General features: G+C 35.8%; 1 long non-coding RNA gene across 2 annotated transcripts in view; it reads right to left on the bottom strand.

The window, feature by feature from the left end:
- LOC101927439 (uncharacterized) overlaps positions 1 to 14866 on the bottom strand; it is a 58245-nt gene extending 43379 nt beyond the window's left edge. Inside the window, exon 1 of one of the 2 annotated variants that reach the window (XR_427355.3) lies at positions 12502 to 14866. This is a non-coding gene — a long non-coding RNA (uncharacterized LOC101927439). The remainder of the gene's footprint in view (positions 1 to 12501) is intronic. The other variant, XR_941002.2, reaches the window with a different exon arrangement.
- Positions 14867 to 15079: the final 213 nt, after the last annotated feature.

The raw sequence follows: 15079 nt of genomic DNA, 5'->3' as shown, positions 1-15079 counted from the left end.
CCTGGGAGCAAAGAACAGCAGCAGACTGGAGGATGATATACAGATACAGATTACTCCAATTTGAACCATGAACATACTTTAGTTTTTTAAGTAGGCAATATATTCCTAAAGCTTAGAAATCTGAGAACATAAAAAGATATAATAAAAATATGCCTCCCGATCCTGATTGCTATTGCCATGCTACCATGCATGAGAAAATACTTTTACATTTCTAGTGTATCAGCAGTTTTCATGCATGTTTAATTAAATGCAAACATATTTTTCTACTTTCCTTCTATTAAAAAAGTTACCATGCACACTGTTCTACCCTGCACAGTTTTCATGCATGTTTAAATAAATGCAGACATATTTTTCTACTTTCCTTCCATTAAAAAAATTACCATGCACACTGTTCTACCCTATACATTTTTACTGTAAAGATGCATCTTAGAGAGCATTCCATAACAGTATAAAAATCTTCCTCAGCTGCATCGTATTTGTATATGGAGGTATTGTTTAAATCTTAATTAATATTTAGACTATCTATAATCATTAGCTTTAAAATCACTAATGTAAAATACTACTATAAACATATTTCTCTATATATCTGCAAATATGCCATTTGAATAAAGACCCAGAGTGGAGTTGGTAGGTCAAAGTTTATATGAAATATTGCTACAATGCTTCCCATAGGATTTGCACTAGATTATAACATCTATGAGCAAAACTGAGAGTTGCTCCTTCTCCACAGCTTTGCAAGAGAAAGTGTTTACAAAGGTACTCACACTTACCAACCAGACAGATGAAAATGTGCTTTTTTATGAGTGAGGTTAAGCATCTTTTCATGCATTTAAATGATCATATTTGATTTATTTTTCCTTTTAAATAAATTCTTTGTTTATATATGATTTATTTTTCCTTTTAAATAAATTGTTTATATACATTCTCATTTTTTGTTGAGTTTTGGTTTTGGGGATTCTTTACATATTTGGAAGTATGGCTCTTAATCTGAAGTGGGAGATACAATATTAATTTCCTGGTTTGTCTTTTATATTCTGACTGATTAAGGGGCATGTGTAACTGTGAATGTGTGTGTACTTGCATGCATATATGTTTTAATATAGGAAGTTTCTTTTTAACAAGTCAATTCACCAATCTGTTATTACATTATATTCAATTTTGTATTTAAATAATAATTAAAAATTATTTTCTTTATTCATTTCTTCAAAGAAACGTCCCAATCTTTTACGTATTTTTGGATAGTTTTGTTTTTAAATTTAAATCTTTCAACACATTTGCAATTTATCATGGCATGTGGTATTGAATATATAATGATCATGTTCATATAGAGAGAGCAGCTAAAGCTGGTCTTAAACTCCTGGCCTGAAGCAATCCTCCAATCTCAGCCTTCGTCACTGGGATTACAGAAGTGACCCACTGTGCCTGCCTGAAACTGTACATTCTAAATAGGTCAATTGAATAGCATGTCAGTTATATCTCAGTAAAGGTGATAATAAAAAGATATTGTATTCTTATTGTATTTCCGTATCTTCTTTTGTTGTTAATTTTTGCTGTTTTATGTGATTCATGCATGACTAATATAGTTATGTGATATGTTTGGATTTTATTTTTCAATTTATTTAACATTATATTTTTCCTATTTTAATATTAAAAAAACTTCAGTGTGACAAATTTTCTTTAAAATTTTGTGTATAGTTGTTTCATATTAGAAAAATTTCCATTTTCTACTATTTATCTTTTATAAAAATTACTTTATATATAAATATCCTTACTAATCTATTTATTTATATAATATCTATTATTTTCTTCACAAAAGTAAGACAACCAAAGAGAAAATGGAAAAAAACAGTAATGTGTTCCTCTTCTTCTCACAGCTAAATCCTCTATCAAATAAGAATAGTTAACTCTATTAATTTTTCAATTCATTTATACTATCAAAATTTTTGCTAGATTTTTTTTAGCTAAAAAGAATATTCCTGTAGACGTCTATTATATAGAAGTATATAATCAGCATTTTTTTAATCTTTAAACTTCATTAAAGTGTAAGCTACTGTTTTTCTTATGGGTATTATTTTTATATTGTAGGTCTGAAATATTTAGGCTGTCTTCTTGCATTCTACACCTCACATTTGTTGTTTTTTTTTCTTAATTCTATGGTTATACATTCAATATTGTATATCAATCATTTATTATAATTTTCTCAAAGCTTCTAATTTTGTTAAAGTTTATCTTTTAGTAATTTCTATAAAAGGGCCCACAGACATTATTTTCTGAGTTTTTCTTTTTAAAAACTCTTTTATATAACTTTTAATAATTAAAGTTTAATATGACTGTGTAAAATATTGTCCAGTAGATTTTATTTCCTTGAAATTTTATGACAGCGTTTCCAGTATTCTGAAGCTCAATGTTTTGCATGATGGTTTTCCTTTCCCCCATTTTTTTCTTTGTATTTAAATCCTATTAATTTTGTAAAAATATTTCACAGTTTAGATAAATCTTAATCCTTCTTTCATTTTACTTAATCATAAATCAGATATTTACTATCATCAGCATTTCAGCCTCGTAGGTTCTAGAAAGGTTTTTGCATTACATCTTCAAATATTTTCTTTGATTTGATATTCTTCTTTTGGATCTTGAATTTTATTAACTCCTTTTTAGCTTCCATTTCATTTTGCTTGTATTACTTGTTCTATCCTTGCTCCTGCTACATGCTTTGTTTTCTACCGTTGCTAATTTCCCCCAATGACTTTCTAAAATTGTCTTTATTTTCATGATTTTTTTCCTACTACGTTCCTGAATCTTCCAGTTAACGACACATCTCGTTTTATTTTTTTTGTATTTCTTCCTGTACTCTTCGATTTCCACCATGTGTCCTTCCTACATAGAAGTAAAACCTCATTCAGTATGTGAGGCACGATTTCTTACTAAACCTGTGCAAATATTTTTCTGATAAATATTTTCACCAGTTTTTAAATTTGCCTTTATTTTCAACATGATTTATTATCCTTATTATTAATTTTCTACCAGTTCTGTGTTATTTTTGTGCCCTTCAAATGGAGTGAGAGTTCATGGTCAAGTATTTTTAGAAGGATCTTTGGAGTGAGGAGACATGGTTGAACTTTAGATATTCTCCATCTATACTTTAACAGAGATAGACTTGCTTCTGCAAACAGTGTTTTCCTGTTGGTTTGTTTGTGTAGACTTAGCTACCTCTGCTTCTTTGATTGAAAATGATTCCAGAGGACTTCAATCATCAACCTTCTCAACCTTTGTTCCAGAAAGTGTTTTTGCAGATGAAAGCTAGTTTTGTACTTCATGATAGTCCTTGCTCCTTTTCACAAGTATTTTGGTTGTTCCTTTCTGGGAACGTTTATGGCTGATCTTTCTTGATATTGGCTTTTTTTTCTCTCATCTTTCTCCATAGCTTCTGCACAATTTCAGTTCAAAAGTAATTCTGTCCAATTTGGTTTTGCCAAAGCTACCTGAAATATGAAATCTAAATTATATTTGTCAACTTGCTGTGCTGAATATATTATTTGTGTTTTCTTACCCAACCATTTTAAATTTGTATAATTTCTAACAAGTGGGGAAAGATGATAGCTTGTGCAGTTATGTTTGTTCATTTGTATAAAGACCTGGATAAAGATGTTTAATTCTCTCCGCCTACAATCCAAATAAAATATTGGAAAGATTTCTTGAGTCATTCCTATTGAATGAGATGTTTTCTGTTACTATTTTTCTGTGATGTTAATTAAAAGTGACCACAGAATGCTACATGACTTAAGTATGCTTAGGTTGAAGAAAATTGGCTAACCACAACAGATGCTATATGGTACGCAAAAAGGTTAAAAGGTGGATTCTGAAACCTCCAGATTTATCATCTATGTGTTTACTGCTAAGAAAATTTTAGAACAGCTAATATAATAGGTTACGTGGTAACATTTGGAAGGAAAATGATAACATTAAGAAGCTGAATAGCACATCTAAGTTCACAAAATGTCAACATGACTTTATTTTGTTTACATGTTAATTAGATTAAGCATTTCATAATAGTATTTTATTCTAAGGGGACATGTGATAGAAAATTTATGAGTAGTAGTTGTTGATCAAATTATTGTATCTAGTGTTAATACATTGATTGTTATGAACCTGCAGAGAGGATCATGAGTTTGTGGCACTGGATTTCATTATTGATTTTATACCATTTAGGATCTTTGTTAATGACTTGGCAGAATATAAAAAAAGTGTGGTTACTTAATTTACAGTGAATAAAAGATCCACTATAGTAGTTAACATGTTGTTTGCTAAAATTAGAATTTCAATTTATTTTTCAGTTATGAAAAGACAACTCATGCAAGATGAGTGTTAAAAAGTACACATAGGTTATAACATTTAAGTTTAAAATTTATTTAAATTATTAACAAACTGAAGAACAGTGTGGAAACAGACTTGTATCGCATATGCCTGCGACTCCTACTTGAGCCTAAGCTCACTACCGAATGACATGATTTAAGAATTATTAATACAAAATTCTGCTGGATTTTAGTGAATCCAAATCTTGGTGCATTTCCCATGAGTGCAGGAAGTAGGAATCTGTAGGTGGGCTATTGGCTGAGTGGGAATAATCCCAGTATAAATGTGATTTATTAGATTATATCTATGGCAGTATTTAATAACTAACAAGTAAAAGATATGTACTCATTAAGAGAGAAAGCATATGCTCTGCATCCAGGGGCTGGAACTCAGCCTTGCTGCTTCACTGCTGCATGACACTAGAATATTTTGGGGATTTTGTCACTGAGATCCCCATATCCAAATTAAACTAATAATAGTACTAATCTCAAGGGATTGCTGTGGGAATTAAGCTAAACTGAATAATACAAAAAAATTAGGCTATTCCTTTGCAGTTAATATATGTTTAATAAATGTACATTGTATTAATATCATGGTGTATCTTATTTATGAAACTTGAAATCATGAAGATTAAATATAAAGCTAACTGGTTTGGTGAGAAATCTATAAATATCCTCACATGGTAATCAAATATTATTAATCTTGGAAGCCTAATTTTATGTTTTGTGTTAAATTTATCAAATAATTTTAATAACGGTGACAAGAGTAATAACATAAGTTCCTATATTCTGAAAAGTGGAAATTATAAAACAAACTTTCAGTGGAATGAAAGCCATATAAAATCCTGTTATCGTTGAAGAGGTTAACTTTTCCCACTTACCTTACCACGGAATGACATTTCAGTCACATTACATAGCAACTAAATATGTAGATAATTTGTAACAGTATTTATAAATCAGAACCCTTCCTTTATATATGCTATTAATAAAAACGTGGCAAAAAATTGTTTATTAAATTGTGTACACATAGAAATCTGACTTCCTCCCATCTCCATTTACCTCATTAATTCACCTGTGAACTGTGGTTTCCTTCAGTGTTTTCTTACATTAATAATTTGGTAACAGGAGAAAATGGAAGTTATAATTGTGTGTGTTAGGGAAATCAGTTTTGGTGCAAGTTATTTTTATGCTCACTTAAGCTGTTTAATTTTCCATTGGAATATTATATTTTATGCCCCAAAGGAATTCCAATTTCTTGCTATTTTTAGTGGAATGTTTGATGTATATATCCTGTGTTTACATAATGTGTAACTAATTTTTGCATCTACAGTCACCATTTTTCTTCCTACTATATAAGTGCATTTGAAATTCTCCATTAAATAAAATTAAAAGTTATTTACATTTTCATTTAAAGAATGTATTGTAGAGCAACATCTTATTTGCTAAAGTATATTTTGTTCTAAAAGGCTTTAAGTAGAATTTGATGTAATATTTTTACACAACTCACCAACAAAAATATTTATTTGTATAGCAAGATTTTGCCAAGGTCTAGACAATTTTTTTTAATAAATAGATGGGGCTTTAATTGTTGTTCTCTTAATTCATGCTAATACAGCATCATTTGCTATTTTGGTGTCAGATATGTCTCTGACAGATGGAACATCGGTGTGGCTAATGTTGGGTAATATGAGCATTGCAAGCATGACACTAGTGTGTTAGCTATGTCACTGGTGTTTGAAACTGTAGAAGTCATCATGGCAGGACCAGAGGTGCTATGATAACTCCCCACATATCTACGGCTATGACTGACTAGGCACATAACTGTCAGTTATATCATTATTCAAAAGAGAGGTATATTCAAAACTTTAAAACTGGACTCTCTATATTTCTATTTCAACCCAGCTCTGAATTTTCTGAAGTCCAAATGCTTTATTCTGTTTGTCTTGGTGTTCATGTAGCATTTAAGATAAGAGAACATCTGCTAACTTTGGCTCGGAATGCTACATGCACTTATTCTTAGTCATTCTACTCTTGAAACAATTTTCGACTAACAACAAAAAAAAGTTTTTCAGGATGCTGCAGGCCTAGTGAGTCATTTCCTATAATTCAATGTGTCTGAAATATTTTTTAAAATGATTTTTAGCGGGCTTTTCAGAGTTACAATTGCAGACTGTTTCCTCCATGAAATCTCTGAACAAAATGGCCCTAGGCATCCTCCAAGAACAAGCTGGTCTTTGGCATAAGCCATTTGACATTCATCCTGCTTGCTGAAACTTGATTCATCTGGACTGTGACATCTCACTGAATTTAGCCAGAAGCTAGAAAAATTGCCTTCTCGCATTTTTTTATGCACCTCCTGGACCTGGATATAGGTTTCTTTACATTCTGACCTTCACTACAGAGGTCTTGTAGACTTTCTCTATTCCTGAGGCATGTAAGAGTCACCTAACATTGTGCTGTTGAATTTGCTTTGTGCTTCAGTAATTTTGATTCCAGCTGACACATATAGAAATACAATAAGTAATAGATGCTTTATCCTGTTAATGTGTTCATTCTCTATCTGTGAGATTAAAACTTCAGATTATGAAGGATATGGCACTTAAAGTTGAGAAACAAAACAAATGCTACTCCAGCTACCATGTTGAAAATACTGAATTCTACAACCTGTAGTGAATGGAAAACAAATGTGGTTTCAATGTATTAAAGGGAAAGTTTCTTTTCAAATAATGCTAATTTGTTAGCAGTTTCTTCAATTTCAATCAATGTGCTAAAAAATCCAAAAGAAAATAGAAAATAGAAAATACACATTTTACGACTAGTATTCCTGTGAAATTGTATTTTTATTTAATGAATGAGAGTTAGATAAAATATAATGATAATTAAATTAACATTAATAAATCACTGTTTTAAATACTTGAGAAATTTTCTCTACTTATAAAAAGTTAAAAATGTTCAGAATTATGAGATTTGTATTCCTTAAATCTGTTGCCCTTCATGACATATCATTTTGAAAATATATTATGAAAATATGTGGTTGTATATTATTACATTGCATTTTAGTAATTTGCATACTTTTTCTATAGGTTACTAGAAATGCCAAAATTAAAATTTTATTAGCAAATATTATTTATATCAACCCTTACTTTAAAGGCATGATAATCTATTTTGTTCAAACTAAATTTTCTGGAAAAGCATGCCTAAGAATTGTTATTTTTGGTAAACATTTGCTTGAAACAGCACAGTATCTGATTTGAGATAGGTGAAGCAGCTGTTTTAGCTTCACAGAAAATGTTGCCAGAGAGAAATTGTGTCCCTAAGGTGTGGGCTGAGTTACAGCTTTAAAAAATTAAATTAGCCCAGCACACGTTTGGCTCCCCTGCTGCTTGGCTTCTTTGCACCGTAGCCCTCCACCATGGCTTCCTATTTGTTTGGCCCAAACTCTTTCTGTAGTTTATTGACAGTAGCATGATAAATCACAGTTTCCTCTGGGCACCATACCTGCTCACATGGTCCTAGTTCCTGTAAGGGGGCCAATATTCATGCCTTCTCATGCAGGCTTGTGAAATTGCTCTTTCAAAAGCTTAGAAATTGATGTTCCATGAAACAAACTATTGTTAACCTAAGCAGTAACTCTTCAGGAGTTGTGACTCTTCCCTGAGAAATGATAACAGTCCTGAATCTGAGGTAGCATCCTCTAGTGATAAATATTTGATGCTTGGGTGAGATGATAAATTTATCAAATGGGGGTAAAAAGAGCCTTTCTGATTTCTAATTTTAAATTTTTTTATTTGAGTATTCATTTCTTAGGCTTAGATACGAATTCTTCAATGATAATAGAAAATGTCCTTTGTATCTAAAACAATTTAATTAGATACCATTTTATTTTCATTTGGGCCACAACTTTACCTCATTTATAAAGAAAATAAGATAGTATCATATTATTTGAATTAAATGGCCTTATTATTTATATACCTCAGGCTACAGTCTAATTAAATTTTAACTATACTATGTATTTTGAATTTATGGGTAACTGAAAATTCTCTATTATATGAAATCCCAATATCATCATAGAATGAAATTAAAGTTACTATCACTATTTGAAGAAGAGTGTCATCAAATGATAATGCAATACTAATCTAAAATTGATACATGGCAGTAGGAGAACATGAATAATTGGATGTCTATTGGCATTAGTGAAAAACCTGTGTTGCCGTTGTTCTAATTGGTAAGTGAAAAAATATCTTACCTTTTAATATAAAAATCATTATTTGTTCTATATTAAAGAAAAAGAAAACATCATATGTATTTAATGTCTTATTTGTTGCTTAGATAAAGAGAACCTGCCTTTCACTTCCCAAAATATTGCTGAAGAACTGGAAAAATAACTGTCAGGTACTATGCTTAATATCTAGGTGATAAAATAATATGTACACAAAACTCCTGTGACGAGAGTTTATTTATATAACAAACCTGCACATGTACCCCTGCACCTAAAATGAAAGTTAACAAAAAAAGAATTGGATGCTCAAATTAATGAGCTGCATTATTTCAAAATAATACATTTTCTACTAGGTTGTGCTACATTCATTGATTCAACCACTTTTTTTAAAGTAAAGATAACAGAGAGTGTTACATTCCATAGTGACATAAACATGATAACCATATTAAAGTAAACTGAAATTTTCACAAATACTTTTAAAAGACAAGAAGTCACATGAACTGAGTGGGGTTCATGGCTGCCTTTCAATACAAGTCTGTGCCTTCAGGTTGTACCCAGGGCTAATGATGTTATCCAAAGGAAAACATCTGTAGACTGCACTTTTTGCTATTTCTTATGTAGTTTGAATTGTTTTTTTTAGTGCTGTCACTAACGTAGTAAATCAATGCTACATGACACTTTTCCAGGGCTATATAACATAACTCTTCCTATTTTGTCCAGATTCAGAAGGAGCTTACAGTAGATGAATCCCTTGCAACTTGATTCATTTCTACTATTGTTTTCCAAAAGTCTAGAATAGGATGGCAGCATTTCAAATTATTGAACACTTAAAGAATAATCTGCTTGGATTTTTTTCATTCACCTTAAAATTGGATACTAAACAGACATTACTGATTTTGGCATTATAAAGGATTTATGAAAGCAAAGTTAAATATTTGTTTTCTTTCTAATATTTTGATCCTGTTGTCTGTTTGAAAACTAATGATAATTTTCTGCCCTGTGCATGAATATGGACCATAATAATATAATTGGGTATCTGCTATCAAATTTATCTTCTCCAAAGAAAGCCACTTCAAATCAAAGAAACTTCTTTAGCCCCTATTATTTTTATTTTACAGTGCTAGAGAGAATTCTAAGCCACATTGCTTAGTAGCCTTTATGTTTTTGTTTTTCTAAATTTTAATGATGTCTTACATTTATGATGTAATTAACTTACATAAAAATGTAGATATTCTAAGAATTTTAGTTTTGGGAAGGCTTTTCTAAATATAATTTAAGTATTAAAGGACTAATATAAGAGTAACAACCAGGATTAGGAATTTATTTCAGGGTTCTGTCTGTACTATGTTTATTGATTATACCACTTAGAGTGATATTTTATTTTGAAAAACCTGTAGCAGATGATAGCATAACACAGTAGTTCTGTTTCTAAATATTTTGTGCAAATATTAAAACAATAGACTGATTTTTTTGGATAGTCTCTTAGAGTAACATAAATTCAAGGGTTTTGCCTCACCCCGAGGAAAGCTTTTTGATTAAAAGATGAGATTGAAGCATAATGTTGCTGACATTTATTAAATGCTCAGAATGTGTCAATCTCTGGGTTACGTGTTCCAAATATCAACTTTCAAAATAACACCACAAAGAAGTATTATTTTCACTAGGCAAGTGAGAAAATAGTGGTCCAGAAAATAAGTCACTTGCCCAGGCTGTGTTATAAAGCTAATAAATGGGAACAACTAGAATTCAAACAGTGATATTTATGCTATTAAATTGCAAGTTATTTCCATTTTCCCATATATTGGTGGAAACAGATTTTCAAGTCACTTTTGTCATTGATTTTATTTCTATTTTTTATTTTTATTTATAATTGTTGTTGCTTATGCTCAGAAATGAAATTAGTGACATGCATCTTCATGTATATTATTCAAAGAAAGTCTCAGAAATACACTAACAGGAATATAACTTATTGATAAGCTGAATTCTGTTTTACTTTTCTCCAACAGTCTATGCATTAGAAAAGAAAATAATTCACTAAAATAATTAAGCATAAAATCATTAAGATTCAACAACAACAACAAAAAGCTTTAGATGACAGAGAAGCAATTTCTCCTTTGTTATTACTTTAATATATCTCATTTGGATCATACAGATAACCTAAAAAACAAATTAATGTAATGATTAGCAGCAGGGCATCTGGAACTAAATTGCTTAGGTTCAAATCTCAGCTCTGTTACTTAGTTGCTCATGTTGGACATGTAGCTTAAACTTTCTGTACCTCACTTCCCTCATTTTAAAAATGGGGACCGGGCACAGTGACTCACGCTTGCAATCCTAGCATCTTGGGAGGCCGAGGTGGGAGGACTGCCAGAGTTCAGGAGTTTGAGACCAGCCTGGGCAACATGGCAAAACCCCATCTCTACTAAAAAATACAAAAAAATTAGCCAGGCATGGTGGCACCCCTGAAGCCCAGATCCTCAGGAGGCTGAGGCACGAAAATTGCTTGAACCTGGTTTTCAGTGAGCTGAGATCACATCACTTCACTCCAGCCTAGGTGACAGAGCAAGACTCTGTCTCCAAAAAAAAAAAAGGGGGGAGGGGGTGGTAACTGAAATTTCTGTCATATGTGTGTTGTTGTTTTTTTAGTACTAAATACCTTTACAGAGTTTGTGTATGTAAAACCCTTTTCATGGTACCTAACACAATAAGGAATAGCTATCATTAATTTTCAGGTCAATTTATTTAACTGAAATGATTATGTATACTGCATCAATGCATGAATATTGGTTTGTATTGGTGAAATATAACTTAAGAAATGAAATGATAAAAAATAGTTATATTTGATTTTATTTTAAAGCATAAAATAGTCAAAATGTTATATTAAACTATATTGTGTAATTTTAATTATATATTAAAACTATATTCTGTAGAATATAGTTTAATATAGAAACTAAGTTTCCTCCGTAGTTGGAAAAATTTAGTTTTCATATATAACTGATGGCAGCAGCAGCCCATCTGGAGCAGCAGCTACAAAAGCAGCTACAAAGCAGCTACAAAGACTCTGGCTACAGCTGGGGAGGTGCCGCCGCGTCTCTGCGGCACCTCGGTGCCGGAGAGGGAACAGGCAGGAGCCCCACCCTCTACCAGGTTGGTTAGCCAGGAGCCCCACCCTCCAGGACACAGCTGCAGCCAGCCAGCCATGGCTCCAGACCAGGGAGTCCCTGTGCTCTCAGGGTCCTGGGAAGCCTCCCTGCCCTGTAGGCTCAGAAGTGCCTGCTCCTACTCCCTGGAGTTCCCCACTCCTGAAGCCTGCTTGAGGCAGAGCAAAGTTGTGACTGAGCCTGGGTGCTGTTGCAACCTTGTTTGGTGTGTGTGCACTAGGAGTGGCAGTGACATGCCAGCCCCCTGCCGCCTTGGCCCATTCCAGACTTGGGGCACTCACGAGCATGGGAGGGAGGCCAAGGGGCTGCTGAGGGTGGCCCAGCAGGGGCCTGCAGGCGATCCTCATCAGGAACAGCCTGGACATTGTGGATGGCATGTCATGGCAGCAGGACGCAGGCAGGCTCCTGGGCGGAAAGGGGCGGGTGCCTGGTGAAACCTCAACTTCAAGCCAGGGATGGCCTGAGGCCTGGGGGCCGGGCTGCCAGTTCTGTCTAGAGCCCAGGTCAGGAGTGACAAGGCCCTTTCTCCAGACCTGCCCATGGCCACCCATGGACCAATCTGCATGCACTTCCTCTCTTCTCAGCCCCTAAAAGCCCTGGACACTGTCAGCCTCGGAGAGCCCTGGGGACTGCCAGCTGTGGGAAGAAGCTACCCACTTCAGGTCTTCCTGACTTGTTGGGCCGACCTGCCTATGGAAAGGGGCTACCCACTGCAGGTCTCCTGATAGCTGTTCTGTTACTCAGTGAAGCTTCTCTCTGCCTTACTCACTTTCCAGTTGTCCACGTACTTCATTCTTCCTGGATGTAGGACAAGAACTCTGGACCTGGCAAATGGCGGTGAGAGGTGTCAGCGTGCTGGCAGTCCTCACAGCCCTCGCTCGCTCTCGGCGCCTCCTCTGCCTGGGCTCCCACTTTGGCGGCACTTGAGGAGCCCTTCAGCCTGCCGCTGCACTGTGGGAGCCACTTCCTGGGCTGGCCGAGGCCGGAGCCGGCTCCCTCAGCTTGCAGGGAGGTGTGAAGGGAGAGGCGCGAGCCGGAACCGGGGCTGCGCGCGGCGCTTCCGGGCCAGCTGGAGTTCCGGGTGGGCGTGGGCCTGGCTGGCCCCGCACTCGGAGCAGCCGGCCGGCCCTGCCGGCCCCGGGCAATGAGGGGCTTCGCACCCGGGCCAGCAGCTGCGGAGGGTGTACTGGGTCCCCCAGCAGTGCCGGCCCACCGGCGCTGCGCTCAATTTCTCGCCGGGCCTTAGCTGCCTTCCCGCGGGAAAGGGCTCAGGACCTGCAGTCCGCCATGCCTGAGCCGCCCACCTTCTCCGTAAATCCTGCTGCTGCTCACTCTGGGTGCACACTGCCTTTATGAGCTGTAACACCGCGAAGGTCTGCAGTTTCACTCCTGAGCCCGCGAGACCACGAATCCACCAGAAGGAAGAAACTCGGAACACATCCGAACATCAGGAGGAACAAACTCCAGACGCGGCACCTTAAGAGCTGTAACACTCACCGCGAGGGTCCGCGGCTTCATTCTTGAAGTCAGTGAGACCAAGAACCCACCATTTCCGGACACAGCGGGACTAAAAGAGCTGTAACCACAAACAGGGCTGAAACACACGCCCCTGATTGTCACTTTGCATGTGAGGAGAAGGAGAGAAGAGCTGCGGCTTTTTGGGGAGCCCAGATCTCGTGGCTCCCTGAGCCAGGTTTGTGACTCCCTCTTTGGGGCTCTGTGGTTCCTGGCATCACTAAACTTCCAGGCATCACCGTGCTCCCCTTGTCCAGACACGGTACCCGCAGCCTGCATGCTGTACATCTGGTCCAGCCTCAGTCTTTCACGGAGCTGGCACCTCTGCTGGCTCCTGGAGCTACCCACCCGCCACAGCAGCTGGCGAGCCTGGCTGTGTGCAGCGGATGGACCCAGCACTTGCTTGCCCACGCATTTTTCACCACTTCGTGCCTGGCTTGCTTTTGGCAGGTGTGGGATCCCGGCCAGTAGCAAAAGCCAAGTGCAGCCTGCCAGACCCAGTAGGCAGAACAAGCCCAGCAGGCCAGAGCAAAAACTTGGGCGAAGGTACCACCAGCCACAGAGGTTTCCAGCTGGTGAAGTAACACCCCAAAGATCTTGTGATATAACTGGATGTATTCTCAGAAATACGGAACATATTTATTCAGATATGGCTAAGCAAACCGGGAAACAAAACAAGAACATGATTAAAACATTTTATTCTCAAAATTCTGAGGTCTCAGCAGACAACATGCATACTTGAAACTATCATGGTTCAAATAAATACACAAATAAATAAATCATTATGGTGTCTGACAATACTCTCAACTGTTGAAACTACGGGATTTAAATGCAACATATTAAGAAAATGCTTTATTTTTCTAATATCTCAACCTATTGAAGTATCTGGAACACTTTAAAGTAATATTTCTTAGTGCAAATGTATTCATTTACGTATACAGTTGTCTCTTGTAGGATTTACATGCGTCCCATCCTCTTGAGGACACTAAAGGGATCACATCAGCGAAGTAACAGTGCTCTGTAATCTCTTGGTTGTGCTCTGAATGTGCACTTTGCTTTTCATTCCAAATATCAGCCCCTCTCTGGAGGGGTATAGGTACCTCATTTTCTCCATTCTCACGTATTTTTTACTGTAAACGCCCAGGTTTCAGTCTTTTTCAAACAGATTATCACCTCTCATTACCCTTGTTGGTTACAATCAACCACAGATGTCCTGGTTATTTAACCTTTTTGTTAAAATATTCCTGTCATAATATTTGGTAATGTTTATATTCATGTTGACAACGAGAGGATATCAAAGCCTCTGACTTCCTTAATCTTTTCAGGGAGTTTTCCTCTACACTACCTCAGCAGTGATATTATTACTAAGAATTTTACCCATAGCTGATTCTCAGTTTCAAGCACCCAACATTCCTAGTAACTACTTTCCCATTTCTCTCCCAAAAGTACCCTGGCTACATTTTTTTAACTTAATAGATGTGAAAATTTATTGATTCTAACCAACATTGGTATTTTCTTTACCTGCCTCACATGCTCAATTTCCTTTCTTTCTCCAAAATACATGCCTGGAAAAATGTCACCTTTATTAAATTGATCGTTCTACTGTTTCATTGGCTGAATCTGTGCCACTAAATGGGGATGGAGAAAAACAAACTGAACTAAATTAAATGGTCTTTAAATTTATTACCCACCAGTGACTGCTGGGCCCTTACTGCTGTCTGATAATCCTACCATATTTTCTCATTTTTCTCAAAACCTTGCTTAACTTACATTAGCTCTACTAATGATTTTATTGGTTCTTTTGGATTCTATGTAGACAATAATCCATCTGT

The sequence above is a fragment of the Homo sapiens genome, chromosome 3 (genome assembly GCF_000001405.40).
Source record: "Homo sapiens chromosome 3, GRCh38.p14 Primary Assembly".
Taxonomy (NCBI): Eukaryota; Metazoa; Chordata; class Mammalia; order Primates; family Hominidae; genus Homo; species Homo sapiens.
The sequence above is the reverse complement of the archived record's forward strand: the minus strand, read 5'-3'. Positions and strand labels throughout refer to the sequence as shown.